Source organism: Homo sapiens, chromosome 22 (assembly GCF_000001405.40).
Source record: "Homo sapiens chromosome 22, GRCh38.p14 Primary Assembly".
NCBI classification, from domain to species: domain Eukaryota; kingdom Metazoa; phylum Chordata; class Mammalia; order Primates; family Hominidae; genus Homo; species Homo sapiens.
In genome coordinates this window covers 43,685,668-43,711,135 of record NC_000022.11, presented here as the reverse complement: position 1 = coordinate 43,711,135, position 25,468 = coordinate 43,685,668, and the positions used below count along the sequence as shown (strand labels likewise).

At 37.5% G+C, this 25,468-nt stretch overlaps 1 protein-coding gene and 1 long non-coding RNA gene across 23 annotated transcripts in view, besides 1 other annotated feature; one reads left to right on the top strand and one right to left on the bottom strand.

Moving 5' to 3' along the window:
* Positions 1 to 25,468, top strand: part of EFCAB6 (EF-hand calcium binding domain 6) — a 283,528-nt gene that overhangs the window by 101,170 nt on the left and 156,890 nt on the right. For 21 of the 22 annotated variants that reach the window (XR_007067980.1, XM_047441462.1, XM_011530319.4 and 18 more), the window contains one exon: positions 23,555 to 23,665. Coding sequence is in view for 21 of the 22 variants with exons in the window: in XM_047441462.1 (XP_047297418.1) it covers positions 23,555 to 23,665 (111 nt within the window). In the remaining variant the exon portion in view is untranslated. Of the gene's footprint in view, positions 1 to 4,632; positions 4,826 to 23,554; positions 23,666 to 25,468 lie in introns of those variants that run through there. The other variant, XM_011530327.3, reaches the window with a different exon arrangement.
* Positions 4,358 to 5,023: an enhancer, noted in NCBI's record as "OCT4-NANOG-H3K27ac-H3K4me1 hESC enhancer chr22:44101993-44102658 (GRCh37/hg19 assembly coordinates)". NCBI's record gives its function as "activates a minimal SCP1, AML or CMV promoter by ChIP-STARR-seq in primed H9 embryonic stem cells {active_cell/tissue: H9 hESC(primed)}" and the evidence as "EXISTENCE:reporter gene assay evidence [ECO:0000049][PMID:30033119]".
* On the bottom strand, positions 11,163 to 12,051 carry LOC124905130 (uncharacterized). The gene is made up of 3 exons (XR_007068124.1): positions 11,969 to 12,051; positions 11,643 to 11,729; positions 11,163 to 11,287 (listed from the first exon to the last, which is right to left on the bottom strand). It is a non-coding gene; the product is annotated as an uncharacterized LOC124905130 (long non-coding RNA).

Sequence of the window (25,468 nt, the reverse complement as noted above, 5' to 3'; positions counted from 1 at the left end):
AATAGAGTTATCAATCATATTAATAAATATCCAGTCAAGGTTCAAATCTAACTGCTTGCCTCATGTTTTCTAATTTAAATTTATTTAAATCAGGATCCAAATTAAGTCTGTAGTTTCAACTGGTTGATTTTTCACAATTCTTTTTAGAACTGTAGCCCTCCTCTCCATTTCTTAATTTTAGAAGTAATCTGGATTGTTTGTTATGGGGGCTTTCTTACAATCTGCATTTGACTGCTTGTAACCCACAGTGTCATTTTACATGTTTCCCTATCTCCCTCCCCTGACTCCCTACCCTAAATTGATAGTTAGATGTAGATGTACAGACCCATGTTCATTTTGTGGGGAGTGGGGGGGACAAAAATACTTCATAGGTGGTGGCAAACATATATAGACTGTCTCTCTTTTCGTGATCTTATCAACCATTGTTGATCATACTCAGATCCATCCATTCATTAGAGATTATAAAATGATGACATTCTGTGTCTATCATTTCTTCTTCTCTTACTGGTTGGAGGACTTCTGTAATAACAACTTCCCCTCTCCAACTATTTGGTGACAACAAGACACAGTTAATATAAGAAAGGCAGGATAGCCTTGATTCTTTCCCTGCATTTCCTACTTTGCAAAATAATGAGCTGGTTCCCTGGCATCCTCCAAAAGTGAGCAATCAGTGTTATTTTCTTAATGATTTTTTCTTAATAATGATTAAGAACTCATTACTTTAAGCATATTTGTGTCTCAATTCATTACAGCTGTTATATTGATACTCAATTTGTTCCATCTTGGCCAGTGGGAGCATTTTCACGTTGGCTCCAACATCCTGTTGATGTGACCAGATAGTCTTTGACAGCTTCCTTGCTTTGTGGTATGACAAACGTTCCAGGTTGTTCTTGTACATCCCTTGCCTGGGACCTGGCATGAGCCATTTCTCCAAGGATCCCTGTTCTTTCCAATTTGAAATGGTATATGTAGACCACAATCTAGGTTAGGAATACTCTCTTTACCTGGTTTTCTGTCCAGGTAAGACAGAGAACCTTTTTTGGGGGGAAATAGAGTAGAAGCTAATGGAAAGATTGTCCTGTCAAACTGTGGGTAATTGATAGGTGCCTTGGGGTTTCTCTAGAAAGGAGAGGCATGAGAGAAGGGGATGGAAAATGTGGCATGAAGCTACAGCAGCTGGCTCCATTCCCCACAGCACCCCACTTTCCTTGCCAGCTCCCTATATGTCCAGAGAGAATCACCATGTACGAATGCTGTGGCTTTTATAGTGAAAGCAAAGTTTGGCCCTAGGAGTAAATGTTTCCATGGCTCAGAAAACAGCTCTTTTGTTCTGTCTACACATGGTGACATTTTTCAGGAATTACTTTCTTGCCTCGCTAAAACTTATGCAGCCATTTCTTCTTATCTCATTTTCAAAATTATGCAAATAATAATTTAATAGCAATAATAAAAATTAAAAGCAGATAGTCACCATCCACCTTACCTAACAAATTTACTATTTTCATTGTTCCACATTCTCTTCCATTTTTGTATTCACGTACAAATATAATCTTTACATATTTGTAATCAGAGTGCATCACAGTTTTATGTTGTGTTTTTTAAAATAGAAATGCATATTATAGACATTTTTCATGTTGGCTTCATAGTCTTCAAAATTATAATTGTAATGAATGCATACAATGTCATTCAGCTAACATTTGTTGAGTGCCTTTCTATATCAGACATTGTGGTAGATGCTAAAAATGAAGAAATAAGGCCGGGCGCAGTGGTTCATGCATGTAATTCCAGCATTTTGGGAGGCCAAAGCAGGTGGATCACCTGAGGTCAGGAGTTCGAGACCAGCCTGGCCAACAAGGTGAAACCCTGTCTCTACTAAAAGTGCAAAAATTAGCCGGGCATGGTGGTGGGCGCCTGTAATCCCAGCTATTTGGGAGGCTGAGGCAGGAGAATCGCTTGAACCCAGGAGGCAGAGGTTGCAGTGAGCTAAGATTGCACCACTGCACCCCAGCCTGGGCAACAGAGCACGACTCTGTCCCAAAAAATGAAGAAATAAATAACAAATTGTCCCAAGCTAGAAAGACTTGCCAGAGTGATGATATCTATGAAGAATATGATGGGTGCATAGAATGCGTGTTTTGGGGGTTGAGGGTGGCCAGGGCTGAGGTGTTCTTATAACTTGTTCTAGCGAGGGACCTAGGGATTTCTGAGTCTCTTTTTTGCATTCACCCCAAATTCCCAGTGGAATAGGTTACTGGAAACCATAGCAGAGTGAACACTCAAGTGCTAATATCATAAATGCTGTATTATATACAATTCTCCTGGTACACATATCTGGAAGTACAGATTTGTCATATGTTCCTGGTCAGCTGTTCCCTTTACTATTATATCATAGCCCTTTTATCCCTATGAATGCCTTTTGTGGTCTATCTTATCTACTATTGAAATATAACAGTTTTCATTAGTATTTGTCAGGTATATCTTTTTCCAACTTTTTACTCTTTTATTGTGATATTTTAGGTATTTCTTATTAAATAGCATATATCTATATGTTTTAAAATTCCAAGAGTAACATCTTTGCTTTTTTCACTGTCAAGTTTAGTCTGTTTTCATTTATTGTGATTAATATGTTTGGATTCTTCCCCCTACCTCTTATTTTGTATTATTATTTCTTCTGCTCTTCTTTTTTTCTTTATTCCTCGTCTTTCTTGTTTGGTATTGGCTAAGTTTTCCTTTTTTTTTGAGACAGAGTCTCACTCTGTCACCCAGGTGGAGCGTGATCTCAGCTCACCGCAGCCTCTCCCTCCCGTGTTCAAGCGATTCTCCTGCCTCAGCTTCTCCAGTAGCTGGGTTTACAGGCATGCGCCACCATGCCCAGCTAATTTTTGATTTTCAGTAGAGATAGGGTTTCGCCATGTTGGCCAGGCTGGTCTCAAACTCCTGACCTCAGGTGATCTGCCCACCTCAGCCTCCCAAAGCACTGGGATTACAGGCGTGAGCCACTGTGCCTGGCCAACTTTCTTTCTTTCTTTTTTTTTTTTTTTTTTTTAGTTTTCTTTATCACTCTTTTTTTTCCCTTCCACTGTTTTAAGACTTAAATATCTTATTTCTATTCTTATAGTGGTTTTCCTTAAAATTTTCACGTGTTCTAAACTTATAAAGTCTAAAAATCAGTATTTCTACTGTCTTGAATGAAAAAGCGCCTTCACCTTCCATTTTGTCATTGACTTGGGCTTTGCTTCTGCCTTGTTTTGATGGGACCTGCATTCATCACTGTTGTTTTTATGACTCATGCCTGTTTAGGTTTTCCCATGATTACCAGTTTGTTTGCTCATTACTGCCTCAGAAACCTCTCTCCTTTCTTCTGGAGTCAATTTCCTGAGGTATATCTTTTGGTAGTCCGTTTAGCAAGGTCCTGTGAGTGTTTAGTTCAGTTTTTGTTTTCAAAAATATCTTCATTTTGCCCTACTCTTTAATGAAAATGTAGCAGGGAACAGAATTCTTGTCTGAGAATTATCTCCTTTTAGTACCACGAAGGTACTCTTCACGGTCTTCTGGCCTCTGCTGTTGCTGTGAGGTTCTGCTCTTTGTCTGTCATTCCTTTATAGGTGATTTCTTTTTTAAGATTTTTTTTCTTTTTGTTACTTTACAGTTTCCCTACCATGTATCTTGGTACAGATGTCTATTTAACCTTCCCACACTCCTGCTATTGCAATCTGAGAATTCGTATTTTTCAGTTTTTGAACGTTCCCAGCTATGATTCTTTGAATATTGTCTCCACCCCATTCTCACTGGTCTTTTCTTCTGGAACTCCTATTACATTACATAAATATTGGGTCTTCCCATTTCATTCTTCATGTCTCTTAAACTGTCTTTTATATTTTTCATGTCTTTATCTCTTGGCTGCATTTTGGCTATTTTTCTAGGATCGATTTTGGTTCACTGCTGTGCCAAATCTACTCCCAGTCTTGCACAATCCCAAGTCTTCTAACCCCAAATGTGCATTAAAACCCCATTCCCTTTGAGCCTACACTAGATTTCAGGGTTGCTATTAGCACATACAGCTCTGTCTGGGCTTGATAAAGCCCTGGGCTCTTGTTGCAGCAGCTCATGTTCTTACTGTCCTTGACATGGGTCTTTCCTTGCTCCTAATACCTATGGATTTCCCTTTCTTGGTTTCCACTTCAGCTCTGAATTTAAAATCATTTTGTTGATAGATTTATTCCAGTCTTTTTACTTATTTACTTATTCCACAGGCTGGAAGGAGGTCCAGTGTTGCCAAAGGCCTCCTTTAATGTGTTCGTGCTGGCTGGGAAGTTAGCAATGCCTTTTATAGTAAACAACTGAGATGAACCTTTGGGGGCTAAATAGGAGTTTCTGACGTGGACACATTGGAAAAAGCCATTCCATCCAGAGAAAGCAAACAGCACTTTTAAAAGAGCTGCGTTTGATTGGATCATGATCAATTGTTTGTGCACTTTATACATCAGACTATTTAACTGTTTGTCTGCCATCTGGGCCTTTAGGTTCTTTATAATTTTGCATATGTTTGCCCAGTCAGTCAATAAATAATTCTTGAGCACTTATTATATACCAGGCACTGTGCTGGATACCAAAGACTCATTGGAGAATAAGAAGGACATGATTGCTGCCCTCAAAGAACTGTGCCTGCTGGTGGGGGAGACCAACACAAAGCAAACCTATGAATAATGAGCTAGAATATGCAATGTGATTCGTGCTCTGGAAAGAATCAGCAGGGGACTACAATGGAGAATAACAAAGAGGAACTACTTCTGATTCAGTTTTCTGGAAAGGCTTCTATGAAAAGGTGAGAGGCAGGAGAAGCAGCCACAGGAAGAACTGTGGGAGGAGCCTCCCAGGAGCAGGCCCCTGGCTCCAAGGACTGCCCCACGTGGTATGTTCTGGGGCCTGGCAGAAGCCAGTGTTCCTGGAGCCGAGTTGGCAGTTAAAAAATATTTTCTGTTTCTTCGTGATTCAGTCTTGGAAGGTTGTATATGTCTAGATTATATTCATTTATTCTAGGTTATTCAATTTTTTGGCATATAATTGTTCATAATAGTCTCACGATCCTTTGTATTTCTGTGGTATCAATTATAATATCTCCTCTTTCATTTCCTTTTATCTTAGTCTAGGTAAATATTTGTTTATTTTGTTTATCTTTTCAAAAAGCCAACCCTTATCTTCATTGATCTTTTGTTTTCCTAGTCTCTATGTATCTTATTTCTGCTTTGATCTTTATTATTTCTTTCCTTCTGCTGACACTGGATTAGTTTGCTCTTTTTTTCTATTTCCTTGAGGCATAAGTTTCAGTTGTTCATTTGGGATCTTCTTGTTTGGTGTAGGCATTTATTGGTATAAACTTTCCTCTTAGAATTGCTTTTGTTGCATCCCACATATTTTAGTATATTGTGCTTCCACTTTCGTTTGTCTTAAGATATTTTAAATTTTCCACTTTAATTTCTTTATTGTTTGTTGTTATTTATTATCTATTGGTTGTTCAAGAGCATATTGTTTAATTTCCATGTATTTGTGATTTTTCTTTCAAAATTCCCCATTATTGGTTTCTAGTTTTAGATCATTGTGGTCAGAAAAGGTACGTGGTATGATTTCAGTCTTCTTAAATGTGCTAAGACTTGTCTTGTGGCCTATTATCTGATCTATTTGGAGAATGTTCCATTTGCGCTTGAGATGAATGTATATTCTGTTGCTGTGAGATAGAATGTTCTATATATTTATTAGATCCCCTTGGTCTAAAGTGTTGTTCAAGTCCAGTGTTTCCTTATTAATTTTTTATCTGGATGATCTGTCCATTATTGAAAGTGGGGTATTGAAATCCCCTACTATTATTATATTGCAATCTGACCTTCCCTTCAGATCCTTTAATATTTGCTTTATATATTTAGGTGCTCTTATGTTAGGTGCATATAAATTTATAATTGTTAAATCATCTTGATGAAGTGACCCCTTTATCATTATATAATGTCCTTTGTTTCTTTTTACAATTTTTGACTTAAAATCTATTTTGTCCGATATAAGCATAGCTATCCTTTCTCATTTGGTTTCCATTTGCATGGAATATCTTTTTTCATCCCTTTACTTTCAGTCTATGTATGTCCTTAAAAGTGAGGCAAGTCTCCTGTGGGCAGCATAGAGTTGGTCACTCTATGTCTTTTTTATTGGAGAATTTAATCCATTTACATCCATAGTAATTATTGATAGGGAAGAACTTATTACTACCATTTTGTTAATTGTTTTCTGGTTGTTTTGTAGGCATTTTCTTTCTTTCTTCCTCTCTTGGTATCTTCCTTTGTGGTTTCATGGTTTTCTGTAATGGTATGCTTTCTATTTTTGTTTTGTGCATCTACTATAGATTTTTGTTTTGTTGTTACCATGAGGCTTGCGTAGAAATTTTATACTTACATAGTCCACTTTATGCTGATAACAACTTAACTTTGATTGCATACAGCACATCTACACTTTTATCCCCCTCATTTAATGTTTTTGATGTCAAAATTTACATAATCTTATATATTTCTTGACAATTTATTCTAATTATAGTTGTTATTAATAGTTCTGTCTTTTAAATTCCTTTTAACATTTGTACTGAAGATACAATCACTTTACACATCACCATTTCAGTCCTAGAGTATTCTAAACATGACTGCGTAATATTTATACCATTGAGTTTTGTGTTTTTGTAACTTTTATGTTAATAATTAGCAGCCTTTTGTTTCAACTTAAAGAACTCTCTTTAGCAATTCCTGTGAGGCAGGCCTAGTAGTGATGAATTCTCTTAGCTTTTGTATGTCTGGGAGAGTTTTTATTTCTCAATCATCTCTGAAAAACAGTTTTTCTGGGTGAAGTATTCTCGGTTGTCAGGGTTTTTTTCCCCATTAGCCCTTTGAATATATCATCCCACTCTCTCCTGTTTCTGTGGAGAAATCTGCTGATAGTCATGTTGGGACCTCTTTGTATGTGATATGTTTTTTTAATCTCTTGCTACTCTCAGGATTTTTTCTTTGTATTTGATTTTTGATAGTTTGATTATTATGTTGTCTTGGCGACCTCCTCTTTGGGTTGAATTTGATTAGAGACCTCTGTGCTTCCTGTAACTTGGGGATACTGGTATCTTTTCCCAAATTAGGGAAGTTTTCAGTCATTATTTCTTTAAATATGCTTTCTAGGCTTTTTTTCTTCTGCTTCTTGAATTTCTATTATGTGTATATTAGGTCCCTTGATGGTGTCCCATAATTCCCATAGGTTTTCTTCATCTGCTTTTATTCTTTTTTTCCTTTTGTTCCTCTGATTGGATCATCTCAAATGTTTTATCTTCAAGCTCATTGATTCCTTCTTCAGCTTGAATGAGCATGCTGTTGAAGCTTTTGGTTGCATTTTTTTTTTCAGTTCAGTTATTGTATTCTTCATCTCTAGGATTTCTATTTGGGTTTTAAAAAAATTGTTTCTATTTCTTTGTCAAACCTTTATTTTTTTTCATGTATTGCTTTCCAAATTTTATTTTATTTTTTAGTCTATCTATTCTTGTAGCTCACTGAATTTTAAGAGGATTGTTCTGAATTCCTTGTCTATCATTTAATACATCTTCCTTTCTTTAGGGTCCATTGTTGGAGCTTTGTTAGTTTATTTTGGAAGTGTCATGATTTTTTGAGTCTGTTACCCTTCTGTCATCGTGTTGGTATCCATGCATTTGAAAAGACAACCACCTTTTCTGGCTTTTACAGGTGTTCTTTGGCAGAAATAGATATTCATTATTCAGTCTAGCTTGTGATTCTGTATGGGACAGCTGGTAATGACCATGGGCAGACAGAGCTTGCTTTTGGGTGTTCTAGATGGCTGGGCTACTGTGTTGGCTCTGAGTTCAGGTGGGGCAGCCAAGCTGGGCTCAGTAATCAGGCTGAGCTGCTGGATGGACATTACAGTTGCCTTATATTGGGCTGGGCCACAGAGTAGATTTCCTGGCCATGTGGTACTGCTATTTCAGTTCAACAGTTGGACAGGGTTGCAGGAGGGGTCCCAAGGTTAGATGGAATTGCTGGTAGGGATGGATGGGAGCTGACACTTTACTCTAGTAGAAATGCACAGTTCACGTTTGCCTTCCTGCCTATGTGGGTCCTTGGGGTGGGCTTTGAGGCTGGGCTGAACATTGTTTAAACTACTGGGTATGGCATATCTAGCCTCTGCTCTTTGCTGAAATTCAATGTGGTGGTAATTTTCCTGCTTGGATAATGTCTAAAAGCCCCAGGGTAGGGTCTAAGGCTGGTTTTGAAGGCTAGCCATCTATAAATTCAAGCCAAGTGGAACTTCTTTTTATTTCTGGGAGTTATTAGCTCAGCTTTGCAGGTGTGATATGCAGTTAGATGGTACCTCTGATTGGGCACCACTGTTGGCAGGTACACAGAGCTCCCGCTTTGTCTCCTTGCTTTGTTTCTACCTGACTCCAGATGGTCTAGCCATGCCATTTCCCTGTGTTGCCTTTGAGGTGAGATGGGAATGGGCTTCCTGGGAAGCATCTTGGAATGCCAGGAAGCTGGGCGTCCACCTCCAGCTCTCTTTTCCCTCTGTAGAAACTGTTGTTCCTGGGGAAACACTTTCTGTGTGGTACTTTATCGACTTAGGGGAATGCGGTTAAAATGAGACCATTTCTTCTACCCTTTTTATGTGGTTTTTATTTTGTTCTGTGAATCACACAGGTGATTCAGGCCTATTTCCAATTTGGGGCATTTCCACCAAGGTGTTCCTGTCTGTGAATGGTTGCTAGTTGAACTTTCTGTGAGGGAGTAGTGGAGCCTGCGACCGACAATTCTGTCATCTTGCTGACTTCACCTCTCCCTTTTATTATTTTTTATAAGGACTGCCAAATTGTTCTCTCAAAAGAGTAGTGATTCACATTGCCATCAACATTGTGTGAGTGTTCTACTTTCATATTCTTCCCAGCATTGAATATTAACATTGTTTTAAAATATTGATAACTCATGAGGTGTAAAGTAGTGCCTTGTGATTGTTTTAATTTCTGTTTCTCGTAGTGTGTGAGGCTGGACCTTCCCATGTACCTGGGCACTGACTGGGTCTCTTCTTCTCTTCACATCCCCCCCATTGGTTAATTTAATTTTGTCACCTCTTTGTTTAATATTTTAAAATAATTAGATAATTATTAAAAGGTAACCCTTTTCTGTCATAAGTACTGCAGCTATTTTTCTTAGCCTGTTATTTCCCTTTTATTATATGATACCTCACTGTTTTGAAGTTTACATTTTAACATAATCAAATACATGCATCTTCTTCTGAATGTCTTTTATTGCTTAAGATCCGTAAATTCATCATTCTTACCCAGGCTTGATAAGAAATCTGTGACTCTGCTTTTTTTTTTTTTTTATTGTTTAAAACAAAACTCTTTATCCTAATATAAGGCAGGTATCCAAATTAAAAAAAATTTTTCCAAATAGATAATCTATTTTCCCACCATCATTTATTAAATAATATGTTATTTCCTCCATTGTTTTTAGTGTCTGTTTTGCCATATATTAAATTCTTATCAATAATTTGGTCCAATTTGTATTTTTTATTCTGTTTCATCAATCTAAATTTCTGTTGTACATGGGCATTTCTATACAATGCCCTGTCTACAATGGTCCAACCAACTGCCTTTTTATTTTCTTTTATATTTTTACAGAGAACATTGAGTTCCTCATACTTTCAGAGTTATTTGTTTTTAACCTATTTCTTGAGTCTAGATGGTGATTGTTGAGGACTTATGACTAATAATGTCATCTCCTAAGAAGGAAGAATCTGCTGAATTCTACCATGAAATATTGGACTAAGAACAATGAATTAGAGGAGGGGAATAGTGCTGTGCAGTGAGTGGTACTGGGGGTTGCCCTGGCCCACTGGGTAGCACTGTGTTTCTCTTTCTTTTGCTACCCTCTCAAGCCCCAGGGAGAAAGTGGTGGAGTCAGAAAACCTGGTATTACCAGAAGACAGCAAATCTACCTTTGCACTCAGAGGATCACAAAAAACATTCATTCATCTTCCAGATTTAGGTTTCATATTTTGTTGATTTACCAGGACGAGGCTATCTTTTATTGAGATAGACTCTTTTATTTATCTTTTATTAAATTTCATATGTTTTGTATTTTAAAAAATATTTAAGAGTTCATTTAAAAACCCATGCACAAATATTTATAGTAGCTCTCTTCATGATCACTTGAAACTGGAAAAAACTCAAATGTAACTCAGCGGATGAATTAATAAACAAACTGGTAAATATATGCAATGAAATATTTCTCATCAATAAAAAGGAATAAGCCATGTTGATATGCACAACATGGATGAATCTCATCAAAGACATTGTGCTAAGTGAAAGAAACCAGTCTCAAGGTTGCTACAGTAGGATTCTATTTGCAAGACATTCCGGAAAAGGCAAAACAATAAGAATGGATAAAAGGCCAGTGATTTGCCAGGGTTGGAAGTGAGGGAAGGTGAGTCTCCACAGGTGCAGCACGAGGGGACCGTTCTGTCATTCTGTCTCCCGAGTGTGGGAATCTGCATGAATCTACGCATGTGTTAAACTCATACAACTGTACACCAAGAGAAAAAGTCAGGCTTACTGCATTTTAACTTAAGAAGTACAATTTAAATATACGCTATGGGTTTTTTTTCCTAAAAGCAAATAATGCAAGAAAGAGTAAAGAAGGAAGTAAAATAAAATCTAAAATCTTATGCCTAACAAAATGATTTGAGAGTGCCTATTCTTACCATCCAATTTAATAATGGATAGTACAAAAAACAGATATCTTTTTGAGCTTGATATTTCTAAAATATACAATATCTAGGGCTTAAATTTTAAACCCTAACAGCTTGGTAATAAGACATAAAAATCTAGATCGAAATAATATTTTAGACTTTAAAAAGCTGTTTTCTGTGTGTGTGTATGTGCATGTGTGTAGTATTTTCTTAATAAAAGGGTAGACTTTAATTGAACTGCTAACTCGACCCTTTGACTAACATGGTGTGCGTTTCAATGTTGCCTAGCTTTTCCTATAAAATAAATCTGTTAAAAATAAAACCTGTGTTTAAATATGATGAGGTTTAAGGAAGAGTTGAGATGATGAAATAAATGAATGCTATAACTTGTAACTTGCGTATTCGCCGGAGATCATACATCGTCCTTCCATCATGTGAGCAGGTCTTCACTCACATTCTCCTGTTAAGAATGTTCCCATTCACGCTGGTAACAATAGTAGCGTGGCAGAAGCTATACAAACAGAAAAAATAAGCCATTTAGTCTAAATTATATGAAGTGTAGAAGCAAAACTCTGGGTTATATTTTCAGTTATTATTGAAACCGTGGTAACCCACGTGTTTAGGATCTCTTCTACTTATATGACATTTTGGAAAAGGAGAAAATATCAGTGGTTAACAGGGCTATGGGTTAGGCGAGGGTGTGACTCCCGAGGAGAAACATGGGGAGGTCTTGGGGGTGATGGAATCATTCTGTATGCTTATCATGGTCTTCTTAACTTGAACATTACATTGGTCAGAGTCCAGGCAGAAAACAGATGGCACACTAAAAAGAGTGACTGATGTGAGTTTATTAAAGGATCTTTTACCCAAGCGAAGGCAGGTTCAAGTAAGGCCAGTAGTTGAGGAAGCATCTCAGGGATACGAACAGGGGGAAGCCAGGATCCCTCCTAGGCCTGAGGGGGCAAGAAAGGGAGCAGTTACTGAAATGAACGAGGACAGGGTTGCCCTCAGGGGATGAGGTCTTAGGGAGAAGAACATGACTATTGCCAAGCTGCTGCCCAGCAGGGCAGGAACTGAGGGAATAAATAGTTCACTTCTTTCTCCTCTCACCTTCCAACCTTCTGCTGGTGCCTCACACTGCCCAAAACCAGCCAAAAGCCAGGAGCATGAGAGTCCAGTTAAAGCAACCCACCTGCGTGTCATGCAGAGTTGATAAGAGCAGAAAGTGGATCTAGATGAACAGACAAAGAATATCCAGTGCAGTCAATCCCTCCGAGCCTCAGCATCCTTTTAGGGGTGAAAACCTTGTGTTCTCAAAAGAGGAGTTACTCAAAGTCCTGCCAGCTGCCATATTATTCCAGGGAGATGTCAATCCTGTTATGCCTCTACCCAGAATCTAAAATGTTCTTTTAACCAGTGCTTTTTGTATAAGGCAATGGAGGGAATAGAAAAAGAGAAACCACATACAATTGAGCTGCTAAAACTCACATAATTGTAGCTAGTCATGAGATCTAGAGTGATAATTGTAAATGCCCTTCCTCCACTTCCCATTCTATGTCTCCCTTTCTCTGTCAGCATCTTTGCTGGGCAGCATTGTTCACCTGGTGAGTTACCCACCTTTCCTCAGGGAACTCAGTCCTTGGGGTTCTCTTTATTGGGCCACCACAGCTGGGTTAAGGCATATAATGCATCCTGAAGCACAGCACCCTAACTTCACAGGACATTTCCTCTTAGCCAACTCTGTAATGGAGTCATCAGCAAAGTATTCAACCATTCTATGATGTCACCTATGCTGGGTGATATGGGGTATGTGGTAAGACAATTGAATTTTGTGGGTCTGAGACCATTGCCACACCTTCTTCACTCAACAAATGAGCTCCTTGGATAAAGGCTATATTGCATGGGATATCTTGGTGATGGATACAGCATCCCGGGGCTCCACAAATGACAGTAATGGGCAGAAGCATTTCAGACAAGGAAGCCCGATTTGAATCTGGGATGTGTATGTACACAAATCCCCACAAATCTTGAATTTTACTCTTGCCCCCTCCATGATGGCAGGGATCCAGTGTAATCTTTACCAGCTGTCTGCAAAGTCCACCCAGAGAAAGGGACTGGGCTGAGGGCTCAGTGTTGGCCTCTGCTGTTGACCGGTTGGATACTTGGCAGAGCAGTGCCAGCTCAGCTTTAGTGACAGGAAGTTCATGTTTTCAAACCAACACACTGTCTCCATTTCTGCCACCCTGAAAGCCCATGAACAAGCAGCAGTTTTCTGGGGAAGCTGACTCAGCATGTACCTATGGCTATATTGCAGGGTGTTCTTCAAAGGTATCCAGAGTCCCCCTCAGTTAAGGGGCTCTGCGTCTATGACCTGGGCAAAAGACCATGAATTCCCATGGGTCCCTATGACCGATATGATCAGTCCCTTTGCCTCTGTCACCCTTTGCTGCCTCTTCTGACACTATCCATCTGTCGAATGGATTAGAGGCTCTTTGGGAACAGTGTGACAAGTCTGTATGTTTCTTCTGCCCTCTCTGTACGTGAAGTCACATGCTACGATGTCTCTACTTGGATTCATAGGATGGGAAAGAGGGACTGGGAATGATACTTGGTTCCCCATGTCGGAATCCAGAGGGATAGCTGCTTGCTGCCTGAGACAATAAAAGGAGCCCCTGGGACACTTTTAGGAGCAAAATAATCAGCTGTTATCTTTGTGACTTTGGTTAAGGATGGTTATTCATGTGTTTTTTAGCAAAATTACCTGCTGATTTTTTATTTTTGAAAATTATGTTTATTTATGCTGATTATAAAAGCCATGGAAACTGGACAATAAAGGAAACTATAAAGGAAAAAAAAGAACTACCATAAATGTAATAGCCAGAGATAGCTACTATTAATATTTTGATATATTTCCTTCCAGAATTTCTTTTGTGCGTGTATGTACACACAGTCACATACATACTTAACATAGTTGAGACCATATGAGGTATAGATTACATTCTGTTTTCTCATAGAATATTATATCAGGAGCATTTTTCATGTCATTAAAGAAACCTTTGAAATTAATTTTTAATGGCTCCATGATGTTTTGTTAACTCTCAAGTCAAAGGGTTTGAAGATTTTTAAGGTTTACGTTAGGTAATGCTAAAATGCACTTCAGAAAGGTGTTAATTTATTCTTAAGCTGGAAGTTCACAGGAATACTTCTTGCCAGCATTGAACACTGCCATTTAAACACCCTGGCTGATTTGGTAGGCGAAAGCACAGCTTCTCATTGTGTTTTGATTTACATGTCCTTGATTTATATTGAGGTTGCATATTTTTTGCATTTGAAAGTTTCCTGTACTTCCTCTGTAAACAATTGTTTATGTCCTTTGTCCATTTTCTATGTCTAAAAATTTTGGTCCTAGCTTTATAGAGGTATAAATTATAAATTCATTTTTAAGTGTATATTTTAATTGAGTTTCGCAATTGTTTATGTAACCACTACTGCAGTCAAGATTTAAAACACTTCATAGCCCTATAATTTTACATTTGCCCTGTGTAATTAATCCCCTCCCGTGACCCCCACCTCCGGCAACCATTGACTTGCTCTCTGTCACTGTCACTATAGATTTACCTTTTCTAAGTGTTCTCATAAATGGAGTCATACAGTGGTAGTCTTTTGTGTTTGACCACTTTGACTTACCATGTTTTAAAGATTGATCCATGTTGTTGCATATCTCAACATCCCATTAATTTTCATTGCTGAGTCATATTGCTTAGTATTGATATATCACAATTTGTTTATACGCTCACCAGTTGATAGACACATGCATGGGTTGTTTTCAGTTTGGGGTAATTACAGAAGATACTGCTATGACCATTCATATACAAGTCTTTGTGTGGACATGTTTTCATTTCTTGTGAGTACATGTCTAATAGTAAAATTGGTGGATTGCATGGTGAGTGTATGTTTAAATTTGTGATACTATGTAACTGTTTTTCAAAGTGACTACCATCTTGCAATTCCACCAGCAGTATGTAACAATTCCAGATGTGGCACATTCTCACCAACACTTGCTATTGCCATCTTATTTTAGCCATTCTAGAGGTGTGTAGAGGTATCTCAGTCTGTTTTAAATTTGCATTTTCCTGATGATGAAATGATATTGATCCTCTTTTTATGTGATTATTGGCCATTCATATATATTCTTTTGTTAAGTAATGGTACAAATCATTTTTCCATTTTTATCAGGTTATTTTCCTATTGCTGATTTGTAAGAGTTCTTTATATACTCTGAGTATAAGCATTTTATCAGATATATGTTTTCAGATATTTTCCCTCAGTGTGGCTTGCTCTTTCATTTTCTTAGCTCTTTCTTCTGAAATATAAACATTTTTAATTTTGAGACAGTCCATTTACAAAATTTTATGGGTAATATTTTGGGGGTGTCTATTCTCAGAAATCTTTGCCTAACCTAGTATCACAAAGATTTAATCCTGTGTTTTCCACTAGAAGTTTAGTCATTTTAGCTTTTACATTTGGATTCATTTCTAGTTTTTGTATATGGTGTGAGATAAGGGTCAAGGTTAATTCTGTTTCCATACAGATATCCAATTGTTCCAGCACCATTTGTTGAAAAGGCAGCCCCTTCTCCAATGAATTACTTTGCACGTTTGTTGAAAATTAACTAACCATATAAGTGTGAGTATATTTCTGGATTCCTTAGTCTCTGTCGGTCTATTCTCGCATCAGTACTGTGGTTTCTTGATTACTGTAGCTAAAGAGTTAAGTCTTGAAATTAGATTGTATGAGTCCTCCAAACTTGTTTTTCTATTTCAAAATCATTTGACTATTCTAGGTTCTTTGTCTTTCTATATAGTCATGTTAAAATCAGTTTGTCAGTATATGTTTTTGAAAGCCTGCTAGGATTTATATTATAAATACATTAAAAAGTATTGCCATTTGCCACTTTAACAATATTGTTTTCCACTCCATAAACATGCTACTTTCCACTTATTTAATTGTCTTTAATTTTCCTAGTCAAAGTTTTATTGTTTACAATGTTCGGATCTTGCATATAATATCTAAAATTTATTCCTAAGTGTTTTTGTTTTTTGATGAAACTGTACATGGAATTTTTTAAAATTTCATTTTCCAACGATTTATGGCTATTAATCAGAAATACAATTGATGTTTGTATATTGACTTTGAATATCATGACTTTATTAAATTCACTGGTTAATTAGTTCTAGACCTTTTGTTGTAGATTTCTTGTAAGTACAGTCATGTCACCTAAAAATAAAAGCAAGCTTGCATCTTTCTTCCCAATCTGTATGCCTCTTATTTTGTTTTCTAGCCTTATTTTACTGGCTATGACAATTTTACTATCTAGGCAGTTTTACTGGCCAGGACTGGCTAGAGTGTTAAGTATAATGTTGAACAGAAATGGTGATATTAGACATTCCTGCTTTATTCCTGATCTTAGGTAGAAAGCGTTCCATTTTACACCATTGAGTGTGATATTAGCAATGGATTGTTTTTGTTGTTGCTGTTGTTGATGTCCTTTATTAGTTTAAGGAATTTTCTATTACTTGTTTGCTGAAAGTGTTTATCAAGTATGTTGAATTCTGTCAAGTGGTTTTTCTGTGTCTATCCTAATGAGCATGTAGTTTTTCTCCATTATTCTATTACTATGGTAAGTTACATTGCTTGATTTTCAAATGTTAAGCCAACCTTGCATCCTAGGAGTAAACCTCACTTAGTGATAATACATTATTATACTTTTCATATGTTACCTGAGTCTATTTGTTAAATTTTGTTAAGAATTTTGTTTCATCTTTTTAAATGAGTGATGTTTGTCTAACATTGCCTTTTCTTGTAAAATCTTTGTCTCAGTTTGGGATCAGAGTAACAGTGACCTTGGGACATGTGTTGGGAAATGTTTCCTTCCTGAACTCTGCTTTCTGCCTGGTGTTATTTATATTCTTTAAATGTTTGATAGAATTCACCTGAGAAGCCATTTAGGCCTGGAGTTAGTTTGAGGGAATATTTTAAATCGTAAATTAGTTTGAGAAAGTTAATATAGAATTATTTGAGTTTTCTCTTTCTTCTTGGGTCATTTTGGTAATTTGTGTTTTTCAACAAATGTTTTTCCCATTCTTTCTCTCCTCTCTTTCTGTGACTCCAAGTACATATGTATCAGACCATCTAGTATTATATAACATGTTTTTAAGTCTATTCATTTTATAAATATATGTATATTCTGTATTCTTCATATTGGTTGGGTTCAGTTGATCAATATTTAAGTCACTCACTCTTTTCTCTGTCCTCTCCATTCTTTTGTTAAGCCTATTCAGTAAATTTTTTATTTCAGATAGTATTTTTCTCTTCTAGAATTTCCATTTAGTTCTTTTTATTGTATCCATTTTCTCTACTGAGATTTCCTGTCTTTCGATTTATTTTGGGCATATTTTTATTTATTTCATTGAGGATAGTTATAAACATTGCTTTTAAAATCCTGTGTGTTGATCCAGTATTTGAGTTATCCATTTTATCTTAATTGTCAAATGTATTGGCATAATGCTATTTATAATATTTCTTCATTATTCTTTTTTAAAATAACTATTTTAGGACAGTTTTAAATTTAAAGAACTATTGTAAAGACAGTACAGAGAATTTCAGTATACTCTGCCCCAGTTTTCCTATTATTATCTTTCATTAGTATGGTACCTTTTTCACAATTAATGAACTAATATTGATACGTTATTATTAAAGTCTGTAATTGATTTATATTTCCTCAGTTTTCCCATGATTTTTATTTTCTGTTCCAGGATATCATCTAGGATGCCCCATAGCACTTAGTAATCATCACGTGTCCTTAGTGTCCTCTTGAGTATGACAGTTACTTAAGATTTCCTTGTTTTTTGATGACCTTGCAAGTTTTGATGATTGCTGGTTAAATATTTTAAAGAATGTTCCTCAGTTGCAATTTGGCTGATTAGACTGGAGTAATGTGTTCTGGGGAGAAAGACCATACAGGTAAAGTGCCATTCTCATCACAGCATATTGAAGGTACATAGAGTCAACATGACTTGTCACTGTTGATGTTGACCTTGATCACATGGCTCCAGGTAGTGTCCTTTTACTTTCAGCCTATCCGGGTCTTTACATTAATGTGTCTCTCTTGTGACTGCATAAATTTGGATCTTGTTTTATAAAGAAATCTATTCTGATAATCTCTACCTTTTAAAAATCTTCGAGTAACTTTTTGCTTTCTTTTGGCACTTTATGACATTGTTCCACATCTTTCCACTTCTGTTGTTTTGAATGAAATGTCATCTCTTAAATTGGCATCTTCCTGTACCTAATGAGTCACTTTTCTCTTATTGCATTTGAGACCTACCCTTTGAATTTGACTTTCAGCTTTGTAGCTATGATGTACCTTGGCAAGGCCTTTTTCATGTATATCATGCTTGATGTTTGTTGTGTATCTTAAATCTGTAAATGTATATCTTTAATCAAACTTGGGAAAATTTTGGCCTTTATTTCTTCAAATATTTTTTTCTGTCCCATTCTCTCTCCTCTCCTTCTGTGACTCCAAGTACATATATGTCAGACCATCTAGTATTATATAACATGTTTTTAAGTCTACTCATTTGATAAATATATGTGTATTCTGTAGTCTTCATATTGGTTGGGTTCAGTTGGTCTATATTTAAGTTCACTCACTCTTTTCTCTATCTTCTCTATTCTTTTGTTAAGTCTATTCAGTAAATTTTTTATTTCAAATAGTATATTTTTCTTTTCTAGAATTTCCATTAGTTCTTTTTATTGTATCTGTTTCTCTGCTGAGATGTCCTATCCTTTGATTTATTGTGGGAATATTTTTATTTATTTTACTGAAGATAGTTGTAATCATTGCTTTTAAAATCCTGCATGTTAATGCCAATATTTGGGTTATCTCAGTTGATTTTCACTTCTCTTTAGTATGAGTTCAATTTTTTCTGGTTGTTCTTATGTGCTATATTTTTGTAATATATTCTGGACATTTGGAATGTTAAATTGTGGAGACTCTAAATTCAGTTATTTTTTTCTAATGAATGTTCTTTCTGTTATTTTAGTAGTCAGTTATCTTGTTGGATTCAAACTGCATACTCTGTTTCTTGGGTGGCAGCTCTGATCTCAGTTCAGATCTTTTGTGTTTAGCTAAGCTATTTTGAGTATATATTCTGAGCAGGAGAGGTTCAGGAGCCAGTAAGAATTTTGGTGAGTTAGATAGAATTTGGGGATCCCTCTCTGGCTGTTTCTCTTCCAGGATTTCTTCTTTCTCTCTTTTGGCTGGGATTAGTCTTCTAGTTTTCCAGGCCATAAAGGCTACTTATTATTATTTTTTTTAACTGATGTTCCTGCCACCCCTCATGCTGCAGTGCCTCATCCGAGGCTGAAAGCATTGAAAATACCACACCCCCACAGTTCTCCTGTTAGCATGGATTACCCACAAGACTTTGCCTGCTCTGGTCACAGTACTTTCAAATAGCTGCTCTTGATAATTATGTCCAGATTTTATCGTGATTATCTGGAGGAGGGTTGGGCCAGTAGGATCTTATTTTACCATTATTGGAAGAAGTCAAATTTTAGTATTTTCTTATTAATTTGTATAAGCACTTTATGCTTTAAGAATTTTAACAATTTATTGCATATATTTATAATTTTATTAATCTGTTGTTTGGCTTTTAAATTTTGTTTTTGTTTATGGTATACAAAAATCTTATATTTTGATGTAATTAAATAGGTAAGTTTGAGATTTCTTAAGTTTTGCTTAAAAATTCATTCTTATTCAAGTACCAGATAAGCGCATGCCTAGATTTTTTTCTACTTTTTTTGTAGTCATAGTTTTTACATTTAACTTCTTAATCTCTTTTAAATTTATTTTAGTATGTAATACTAAGTGAAGATCTCCTTTGATATTTTCCCCAAAGAGCGAGGCGATTTCCTAAACATAATATATAGAAGCTGATTTTATTTTTCATAGCAGCTATAGTTTCCATTATAAAAAGTTAATTTTCAATTTGCTGAAATTTAAGATGAACATATATAATATTGACAAACTATATCAAAGTAATTGGCAAATTTTGGTGAAGAAAGACTCAAATTTGAGTCAGAAAAATGAAAAGAGAATTTATGTGAATAGTAGTACATGAAGCCAAAGTCATGTTCTACTTGTTTAGACGTGGCCATGTGTGCCTAACAAAATCAATTAATCAGTCTCCGTCTCTCTTTCTCATGATCATGTCCACAGTGCTAGCAGCAGAAATAGAAAGAGGCATTTATCAAGTATTAGCTGCCATAATCATAATCATAGCAAAAATGCTATAGAAGTATTAGATGCTGTAATAATAATAATAATATTTAAATAATAAGTGCTATAATGGAAGGATACATAGTGTAATGAAAGTCTAATAGGGAAAACAGCACTGGCTATGGAAATTAGGGAAGGCTTCCTTGAAGAAACAGTTATTGCATTGAGACCTGAAAGAGGAGTAGAATTAGCTAGGAAACTATGGGAAGTAGGTAATGATGGGCGACATGGCAGTTGGCAAAGGAAGCAACAAGCAGAAGGGACCGAGGGCAGGGAAGAGTACAGCTCTTTGGAAGAACGGAGAGACCAATGTGGCTGGAGCTAAGAGAGCCCGGGGAGCATGCCATGGGGTGAGGCTAGGGAGGTGAGCAGGGCCACACCATTGCAGGCTTGTACGTTTCAGAAGGAGTGTCGTTTCTATCCTAAGAGCAGTGGGGAGTCATGGAAAGATTTTAAGCAAGAGAGTAATCTGGTCGGATTTGCATTTTTTTTTTTTTTTCTGAGACGGAGTCTTGCTCTGTCGCCCAGGCTGGAGTGCAGTGGCATGATCTCGGCTCACTGCAGGCTCCGCCTCCTGGGTTCACGCCATTCTCCTGCCTCAGCCTCCTGAGTAGCTGGGATTACAGGCACCCGCCACCATGCCCGGCTAATTTTTTTTTTTTTTTTTTTTTTTGTATTTTTAGTAGAGACGGGGTTTCACCCTATTAGCCAGGATGGTCTCGATCTCCTGACCTCGTGATCCGCCTGCCTCCGCCTCCCAAAGTGCTGGGATTACAGGCGTGAGCCACCGCGCCCAGCCCGGATTTACATTTTTAAAAGATCAGGCTGGTAGAGGTATGGAAATACATTGGAGGAAGGCAAGAGTAGGTACAAGAAGACCCATCAGGAGATTATTGCAATAATTTAAGTGAAGCTTGGTATATATGTGGATGTGTGAATGGGTGGATATCTGGCTGGGTGGATATGTAACCTAAGTTGAACTGGGCAGACTCATGGGCTGTCATCTTACAGCTACTTAATTTTGTTTCCCACTGCCCCTTTAAATTTACTCAATTGGATTAGTTCTTTTGCCCCTGGATAAAAACGTGAGCAGATCTTGCTTTTCCAGGTTTGTCTTGGATCATAGAAAGAGACTTAATTTAGTCATGCAACTTCCAGTCTCACACAGCCATCAAACATGTAAGCTTGATTGAAACATGAATTGCATTTCCTCCCTGTTAGGGCCTGTTACAGGCACGAGTAGAGGTGGCATGATGGCAGCTTCTCCCTTTCCCACTTTGCACTTCTCTTCTTTCCTCATTTTGTAAACTAAGTTTCGGCCTCCTCTAGGAATTGAAATGCACAGAGGAAGGAGAGGAACAAAAGGGGAGGCTGAAAGTTCTCATTTGACTGGCACTGCCATGAGCTTGAAGCTGTGTTCTTGGGGCCGATCAAGCGTTCAAAGGTGTTTGCTTTCATGAGCGCTGTTGATGGGTTTTGGATTTCACATTTGATGAAGGCAGATGCATCTCTAGCCCCGCTGATTGCCTATTTCCTTCTCAGCCCCTGGGAATCTGGGAAGAGAGAAAGCAAGCCTTCTCTATTAAGGCCTGTTCATTTCTCCAGGTGGCTTTCTTGGGCAAAGACGAAGATGCTGCTGTGTGTGTGTGTGTGTGTGTGTGTGTGTGCACGTGCTCTCCCTCACGTGGCCCACTCTCCCTCGCGTGGCTCACGTCTGATCCCCATGAAACTCTCAGCAGTTATTTTCCTGATGACTCTGATAGAGCAAGCCATCCAACCAACCCCCTGCCTCCGGCCCTGCGCCCCCCCGCAAAATTTTTTGTTCTCAATGGCTAGCCAGCTCATCTCTCACCTGCAAGGTTTCTAGCTGGGAGTCAGGCACTGATACATCCCACCCCCAATTGCAGGTGACAGGAATCAAGCTCCCTGAGTGGAACAAGGCTTCAGGTGAGGAGTAGGCATCCTTCACTCTCTCTTTTGTGGTGGGGTTGGGACTCAAGCATACCAAAAGATTTTCTCCCAGAATTCACTCTTTTATCCTCTATTATCTGAATTTTTTAATACCCTAGATGTAGATAAAGAATTTGTTTGTCTAACCAGTTCGCTGTCAGCCATTAATTTTTAGCAATCAAAACAGGGCAGTCTGTTTCATGCCCACTTTGAGATCTCACATCAATTATCTAAGGAACTCAGCCCAAACTACTTTTTGCCATCCTGTTAGGGAAGGATAGGCATGGTTTAGTGTGTAAGTCACAGAAGGTGTTTGTGACACAGGTCAGTGTATGTGATAGAATGCTTGCTGGTTTTCCAGCCTGCAACCGAGGCTTTTTGACCTATTAGCTCTAATCCTTATCACAACCCTCCTAGGAGGTGGTATTATTCTCATGTTACAGATGAGAGGAATACAGAATCAGCATAGTGAGCAGCGAGTCTGAGGTCACATCAGTAGGAAGTGCAGGAGCAGGTACTCTGGTCTTTCTGAAACCCATGCTCACATCAGGTTGCTCCCACAGGAATCTTATAACTCTGAAATTATTGGACTCTGAGTCATGGGACCATATTCACTTTGGAAATGTGTTTTTTGAACAATTTTCCAATTATTCTTGCTAAGACTTTAAATCTATACTAACTTTCTATTGCTGCCATAACAAAGTACACGAGCCTAGTGGCTTATAACAACACATGTATTATCTTCATGTTTGGTAGGTTAGAAGCCCAACATGGGTCCACTGGGCTAGAATCAAGGAATCAGCAGGGCTTTTTTCCTTCTGGGGAATCTGGGGGCAAATTCATTTGCTTTTTCTAGAGGCTTCTAGAGGCCACCTGCATTTGTTGGTTCACAGCCCCTTCCTCTGTCTTTCAAAGCCACCAGCGTCACACTTCTGCCCTTCTGTCCTCATGTCTTTTGATGGCTGCAGCTAGGAAAAGCTCTCCAATTTTAAGAATGTATGGGATTAGAGTGGGCCCACTTGGATAAACCAGGAGAGTTGCTCCATCTCCAGATCCGCCCTCCACCACATCTACCATGTTTCTTTGCTGGGGCAAGAACGTAGTCACAGAGGCTCAGGATTAGAGGGTGGACCCCATGGGGGCCATTGTCCTCCCTGCCACAACATAGAGGCTCTTCACATGATGAATTTGAAAGAATTATTTTATGGACATTATTATTTTAATCAAATCCCTTAGATTCTTCTTTCAGTGTATGCCACCATTAACAATATAGAGGCATGCAGATCTAATATCAGTTTGATTTTTCCTTGCTTTAAAAAATCAATTTGTAGTACTATTTTACTAAGTGATTTTGTTTATATTAGATTTGAAACTTCATATAAATGCATTGCTGCCATTTTCAATTCAACATTAAGTACCTAATCCATGCAGTGTTATAGAAAAAATGTTTAAAGTAATGTTTTTTGTTGTTACTTTTAAATCCAGATTTGGACTTAAAGCCACCACTAAAATCAATTGGAAGCAATTTCTAACATCATTTCATGAGCCTCAGGGGTTGCAAGTTAGCAGTAAAGGTCCCCTGACAAAAAGAAATAGGTATGTAAAAAAAAAAAAAAAAACAAATTTTAGTTACACATATCATAATATGTAAAATATCAGAGAATATCTGTGCTACTTTTTCTGCATTTATTGAATGATCGATTAGTCTCCATTGAATAATTGCCAACTTTTATATAGTGATTTACTGCTTACAAATTTTTCTTATTGAAAACTGCCTTAAACTATAAGGTTGGTATAATTGTTATGTCAATTTCTAGATGAGAAACATAAGATGATACAATCTGAACTCCATCACCTGCTCAGAGTGTGGTGGAGACAGCTATGGACCACAAAGGCTCCAGGCACACAGGCCGCCACGGCAAGCACTGCTCCCTAGCTCTAAGCATATCCTTGTAACATTGTAGGTAAACGTGTATTTGTTAGGTGTTACATGGAAAGGAACAATATATGTTGATTTGTTTTCCAGCCACTGAGTGGCCCAGATATCATGGGTCATGGAGATTATTTGTCTATCATTATTTCTGTTTTCGTTTTAATATCTATTATAACCTCAGATTTGCAATACCAAATATCTTGTGATGGGGCCCCAAAATGTTTTTTAAAAAATTTAATAATATGAAATTTTAGAATTTAGCTTTCTGCTCTGAGAAGTATTTTATGTTGATGCGTATCCTGTATTCATTGCCCTCTATGAATCTTAAAGAAAAAAACAGGCTTTATAATCTTGGCACGTTCATTGAAAGTGCTGTGCTCTACTGTAAAGTAAAATATACCATGGAGTTAATTCCCATTTTGTGGGTCCTGTCCCTGTCTCGGGGATTTGTGAATATTTAATGAACTGCGCCTGTTAACAGCCTTGCAGGTAATCAGAGCGCTCCCTCTCTGCTCCAGAGCTGCAACCTCTGAGTTCATTCGTTATGTGAAGTTACTTCTGTTTCTTTTTAATTTTCTTGTCCAATAGCACGTTGTCTAGAGAGGCTGTCAGAATTAAACTTAAAGTTTTATTTACTTTAAAACAGTGGTTCTTAAATGGGGACAATTTTTCCTCCCAGGAGATATCTGGCAATGTCACAGACATTTTTGGTTGTCACACTGAGGGTGGGGAAGCTACTGATGGGAGCTGATCATAACCCCAAAAGACACAAATGCCATCATCCTTAAGGTTGAAACCTCAGAAGATCAAAATCATGAAAATATAATTCTGAAAAAAAAAATTAAAAATTATTTAGGCTGGCACGGTGACTCACGCCTATAATCCCAGCACGTTGGGAGGCTGAGGTGGGTGGATCACCTGAGGTCAGGAGTTCGAGACCAGCCTGACCAACATGGAGAAACCCCATCTCTACTAAAATACAAAATTAGCCAGGCGTGGTGGCGCAAGCCTGTAATCCCAGCTACTCGGGAGGCTGAGGCAGGAGAATTGCTTGAACCCAGGATGCAGAGGTTTGCAGTGAGCCGAGATCTCACCATTGCATTCCAGCCTGGGCAACAAGAGGAAAACTTCATCTCAAAAAAAAAAAATTGTTTTAAAAATATTTATTTACATTGTAAAAGGGGATTTATTTGAGAAACATAAAAACACAATAGAACACTTCAGAGGCCACTTTACACAAAAAATAGGCAAAAATGACACATATTTTTCAAGCATAAACACTTAGATATACTAGTGACCATCACATAGGTGTGACAGATATGAGCAGATGAACCATATTCCTAAAGAAATAGGTCAAAAAGTGAAACATGTAAATGCATATCCCTATGGTGGGTAATCGCATGCACCCAGTTTCATAACTGCAGTCATTCAGAATACCGTGACAGATAACCTAAGTCTTTTGCAAG